Raw genomic sequence first — 5920 nt, 5'->3', positions numbered from 1 at the left:
GGCTTCGCTGGGGACCCAGTTTTAACCAAGTAATGGTTTCTGAAGATTGAGTCCTCAGCCCTCAGGTATTTTACCAGCAACTGTTTGCACATGTGAAGAGTTTTTAATGTTTGCAATTCTTCATGGCGGCTACAGATATGCCATTTTAGCCTGTCTTTGAAAATAAGCACTGTCCCGTGGGTCTGGAATATAAAGAAGTTAGGGCGAATTCAACAAGAATCAGACAACTGAATGAATGAGAAATTGCATAAATTTGGCCTGGTCTTTCCATTTTCCTATTTGGTTTTCAAGATTTGTTTTTCTTTTTTTTCTCTTAAAATATAGCTTGGGATCACCTGGAAACATGATTTTTGTCCTGTGATTCTTTCTGCTCTGAGTTACATAGCTATCTGGTTAACCATAAAAAACATAAAAACCATAAAAAACATCTTTTACAGCCCTTTGCAATTTACAAATTAGTATTCTCATTTGGCCCCCACATAGCCCTGTGACAGAGACATACAGGGAGTAGCATCGTTCCAATTTGCAGTTGATGAAGCAGGCTCAGAGAAATGATTTGACAGTAATTTGCAGTGTGTTTGGGGGGACTGGTTTCTGTTGCATCTCCCTCTGAGGCACCTAGGGATACTTAGCAGTCCTGCAGAGTCCTTGGCCCCACCTTAACTGGAATGTCTGGGGAATGAGGCCCAGGATCCTTCAAACTTCCTAACACTCTGGGGAAATTCTTAAGCATAACAAAGTATGAGAAATGTTCCCTGCCTCTACAGAAAACGAATCTTAGTCTCTGGATGGCCAAGCTTTCTGGTTTCCACAGGCAAATGCTCCGAAACTGGGTGTATTCTCATAGCCGCCAAGGAGCTTTTAAGAAAAGTCACACCACTTTTAAGAAAGAACACACCGCTAAGTGCCACCAGACCAATTGACAGTTTCTCCTCAGAGCAGCCCTGGAATCTTTATTTGGAAATGGTGTGTAGAAGGCCCTGATATTCATTAAGGCTCCTACGGCTCTGTTGAAACCAGACTGGAATGGATTTTTAAAAGGCTGCCGTCAGCAAAGAGAATAAATTGTAATTATATCATCTGACACATTTGGAATGGGGTCTCAGGGCTGCCTCTGCCTGACATGCAGTTTATCTCTGTGGAAAGTCCTCATTTTCGTATTGATAGCAGTGCCCTGAAGCACATCTGAAGTCCTTCAGGTCCTTAGAGGAGAGAGGAAGTCTCAGGGAGAGTCCTCAACATTCTGGTTTTCTGTCTGAGGCCCTGCCACTCACTGATGCTTCCACCTTAGCACATCCCAGGCTATGCCTGGCTGTGGCCTTCACCGGTAGCTTTTGAGATAGGACCACCAGAATCCACTAGGAACAGCATCAACGTTAGATAAAGCAGAAATAACAAGCCTCACATTTTACAGCACTTTTCCATTTGCAACGCACATACACATCTTTTTATCTCATTAATCCTCACAACAAACCTGTGCGGTGGATGTCATTACCCACATGTTACAGATGATGAGATTGACGCCGAGAGAGATAAAGTACTCTGCTCAATCACGGCTAATGAATCACAGGGCTGAGCAGACACCCACGGGTTCTGATTTCAGACCTGCTGCTCTTTCCACAGTGCACATTAACCCGCCACATTCTCACAAGAGCCCTGCTGAAGCAGGTGTTTCACACTCACTCTCAGATGGCAGACTGAAGGTGGAAGCGGCAAGCCCGAAGTCATACAGTGAGCAAGTGGGGAGGTCGGGATTCAAACCCACTTATCTCCAATTCTAAGGTCAGCTGCTCTTTTATTTCATGATTCTATCATTTTCTTTGAAGGCTAGAATCATAAATTGTGTTTCTCAAACATTTTTGACATCAACCTATGGTAAGAAACTATCATGGTTCAATGCATTCACACACACACACACACACACACACACACACAAAAACAAAACAAAAGCATTTCAAACTGATGACTCTACTGTCATCCATGCTGTTCTAATCCTTTCATTTACAAAATGCTGGTTATGACCCATTAAATTTTTTCAAATTTGAAACAAATTTTCATAACCCACTGAAGGCCACAACTAATGCAGTTTGACAACCACTCTTCAGAATGCTCAAATATTCATTTTTGGTATACTATCTGGTATATATATAAAATACTGGTATATAAAATACTTTGATATATATTTATTATATATATACACTTTGGTATATATATTTTATATATATATTTGGTATATATATATTTTATATATATTTGGTATATATATATTATATATATATTTGGTATATATATTTTATATATATATACTTTGGTATATAGATAATATATATATATACTTTGGTATATATATATTATATATATATATATAAAATACTAGGTCGAAATCACAAATGTGGAGACTAAAACAAATTCGTTGGTGGTAACCATGAGCTTGACCAGCTTGGGCACTGCTGTCTGGTTCCACCTGCTTTTCTCTGGCCCCTGGGGTCGCCTCAGGCTCCCGGCCACCTCTGAGGCCGCAGTGGGGCTGTCAGACTGGCAGTGAGGCCAGCAGCCCCGGGATCCCCGGTAATGAATGCATTCTTCACCGCTTACCCTTTCCTGACTACCGTGAACAGTAATAAAAATGTGGGCAAACAGAGAGAGTTTAGTGTGTTTATTGCTGCTATTGAGAAAATAATGTGATAATAAACAGGGCCAGTAATGGAAATTGCTTCTAAGAATAAAATTATGTTATTATGAGTTACACACAGCCATTGGAAAGCATTTCGTCTCTCCAAGTGGGAGCTGCCTGGCTGCTTGGAGCTGTTCCGGGGCCTCCCTCCTGGGACCATGATCCTTGCTCCACTTGCCAATTTGAACTTTTAGCCTCATTGACTTCTTGGCTTTGCTGATCTTTGGAAACCAGGTGGCTTGGGGGGCATTGCATTTTAATTAGTGCATTTAATCCCCTGGCTGGTGTGTTGAAGTCTGTTACCTTCCTTCTCAGAGTGTCATTAGGTCTGGATGAGGAAACTCTTCTTCAGTATATGATGAAGGAATTAACTGAGAGCAGAGTTTAAATGCTCTACGTGGAGGAGAATCAGGTTTGACATCAGCTAATAGCCAATCCTGCCATTAACACAGGCATAGGAGTAAAATTAAGCCTTGAGAGCTTAACTCCTGTACTAATTAGAAAGAAAATGACAGAAAAAATATCAGGCTTGAAGAGCTGCGTTGACTTTGATGATGCCCAGGCATTTGCAGGCTAGGCACAGAATGCCCTTGAAACCTTTTCTTTACACTCCATGCATCATTTTACCTTATATTCCTTTGTAAAAATCATGTTTGCTCACATTCACCTTTCTACTGGGAATCTTTCCACTTTCAGCTTCACCTGTCAAAATCTTGCTCATTCTTCAATGTCCATCCCAAATGTGATGTCCTAGAGGAGGCCATGCTAACCCCCATGGAGCAATTCCTTCCTGTGTCATTCCCACATACCAAGGACCCTCTGTTAGGGAACTTGTCGTGGCCTTCTGAGTATCAAGCTAATTGCATTACGTCCCTTGTCAGATCATAAGCTTGTCAGTTCAAACTCTGGTCCTGAGTCATCTCTGTTCCCTTTACAGAGGCTGGCTCAGGCTACGTCAGAAGCCAGCTGGGTGTGTGGTAGGGCAGCTGATCTAAATCAAATGTAATTAACTATAGCATCTCTATTATGCTTGATGGGGTTCGGGCTGGGGCTAGGGTAAGGCAAGAGAGGCACCTAGCATGCGAAATCTACAGAAGCACTTGCAGGACTCTGAGAGCATCTCCTTAAATTTTACACCCTAGGCATCTCTCTTGCCTTACCCCAATCCTGGCTTTGGTGAGTGAAGTGGGAAAAGCATGGCAGTCTCCCTTGAAGAGGCATTTGCTGGACTCCTTTTGCAATGATGGTGTACTCTTCTATTGTGAGGATTCTTATAATCAATTGAGAAGAGCCCCCTTGCCTCTGCTGTTGTTCTCTTATAGGTGTACTTCTGCAGCTTCCCTCCTTATCCTAATCCCATGGGGTGGAAGGTAGTCAATTAGTCAGGTCCAGGTTTGGCAAGGGCTTTGGACTTCATTCCTAGTGGAATTGAAACACTTCACAGTTGCTGACCAGGAAGGCAACATGATTTGATTTGCATTTTCAAAGATCACTCTGGCTTATGTGTAGCCTGGATTGTTCACGACCCAGAATTCTGCGTAGCACTATCCACCCCCCACATATGTAACTACCTCTTTTAGACAAAACACAAATGTTTGTAACATACAGAGTGTGTAGAGAACTCCTCAGTTTGTAGATATTCATGTATTTTTTTTCTTGGCTAGAAACTTACCTTTAACTTGTAAAAAAGGTTCTGATTTTTGTTTGGAGCAAACATTTATGATGCTCTTAATAAGAGTTGTAAATTGTCTCCTTTTCCTCCTCATTGGTCATCAAGTTCATAGCACTTCCATGCTGTTTTACATGCACACGTTAAGTATTTTGGTTTTGGCTGTGCCCTTTCCCAAGAAAATTAAATGTACGTCAAGTGGCTGTAGGAGCAGGTGCCATTTCTTTGGATTTCTCACAGAGGAAAACATGTTATATATGGGTGTTCAATTTTATTTGATGTTTGGAATAGCAAACATCTTTAGGGACAAGAACAAACTTTCACAGACCTTGAACATTATCCAATATAAAATCCCCTCTTGGGGACTGTGATCTCTGGATCTTACTGCAGCCACAGTGGGGAGCCAGCAGAGATGGGTTTGGATGCCCTCCTGAATATGTTCCCCCTTCATAATCGCCTTCTGTAAACACCTCAACCCCCAATCTTCTTTTCTTTCTCTTTTGGTCTAAGAAAGTAAGTTGAGCAAAGCAAAACTGAGTTATTTGGGTGGTAAGAGAGGAGTAAGGGGAACAAAAGGCATATGTTTTGTGTGTGCATGTGTTTTAATTTCTTTCTGTGATGGAGATGAGTTTACCAAAGGGTGAGGCTTCTACTCTAAGATAGTGGTTATCTAACCAGGTTGACATGATCACCTGGGGAATTGGTTGAAAGGACAGTCCCAGTTGGTTATGGGATTGAATTGTGTACCCTCCAAATTCTTATGTTGAAGTTCTTCTAACCCCCAGAACGTCAGATGTGACCTTGTTTGGAAATAGGGTCTTTGCAGATATAATTAGGAAAGTTAGTTTACGGTCACACTAGATTTAACTCAGCATGACTGGTGTCCCCAGAAATAGGAAATTTGGAGACAGGCATGCACTCAGGGACAATGCTTTGTAAAGACCAAGGCAGTCATCATGGTGTTAGAGCAGAAGCCAGTGATGCCAAAGACCGCCGTGACCACGGTGAGGGGAGAGGCCTGCGGGATGAGGGGAGAGGCCTGTGGCAGAGGCTTTCTCACAGCCTCAGGAGGAAATGAGCTGCAGACATCTTGATCTCAGGCTTCCCGCCTCCAGAACTGCGAGACAGGTTTCTGCTTTGAAAGCCTCCCAGGGTATGGTGCTTTGTTTCAGCAGCCCCAGCAAATCCATACACCCTGAGCACAATCTCTGAGGCCAACCATCTGAACTCTTCAGGAGCCCTTCAGTGGCATATGAGGATGGGGTCGGGGGTGGTGTCCATTCCTTCTGCCCTGGCTGCTGTTCCCAGGCAGCTGCAGACACCCTCACATTGGAGCTTCTGCATCCTCCCTGACTCACTCAGTGTTTTCAGAGGTCTTGTGGGATGTGTGGACATGTTGCAACCAGCAGATGAGTCAGTCAGTCAAGATGAGATTGTTCACTCATTAAAATAGACTTCGTTGACATTCCTCTGGTTACCAAGAAAAAAAAAATGCTTGTGTACCATCCTACTACATAATGTCATGTACGAAAAAGCAAACGTACCACTTTGTTCTCAGCACCCAGTTTCCAAAGTTT

This window comes from Homo sapiens, chromosome 2, assembly GCF_000001405.40.
Source record: "Homo sapiens chromosome 2, GRCh38.p14 Primary Assembly".
Classification (NCBI taxonomy): domain Eukaryota; kingdom Metazoa; phylum Chordata; class Mammalia; order Primates; family Hominidae; genus Homo; species Homo sapiens.
The sequence above is the reverse complement of the archived record's forward strand: the minus strand, read 5'-3'. Positions refer to the sequence as shown.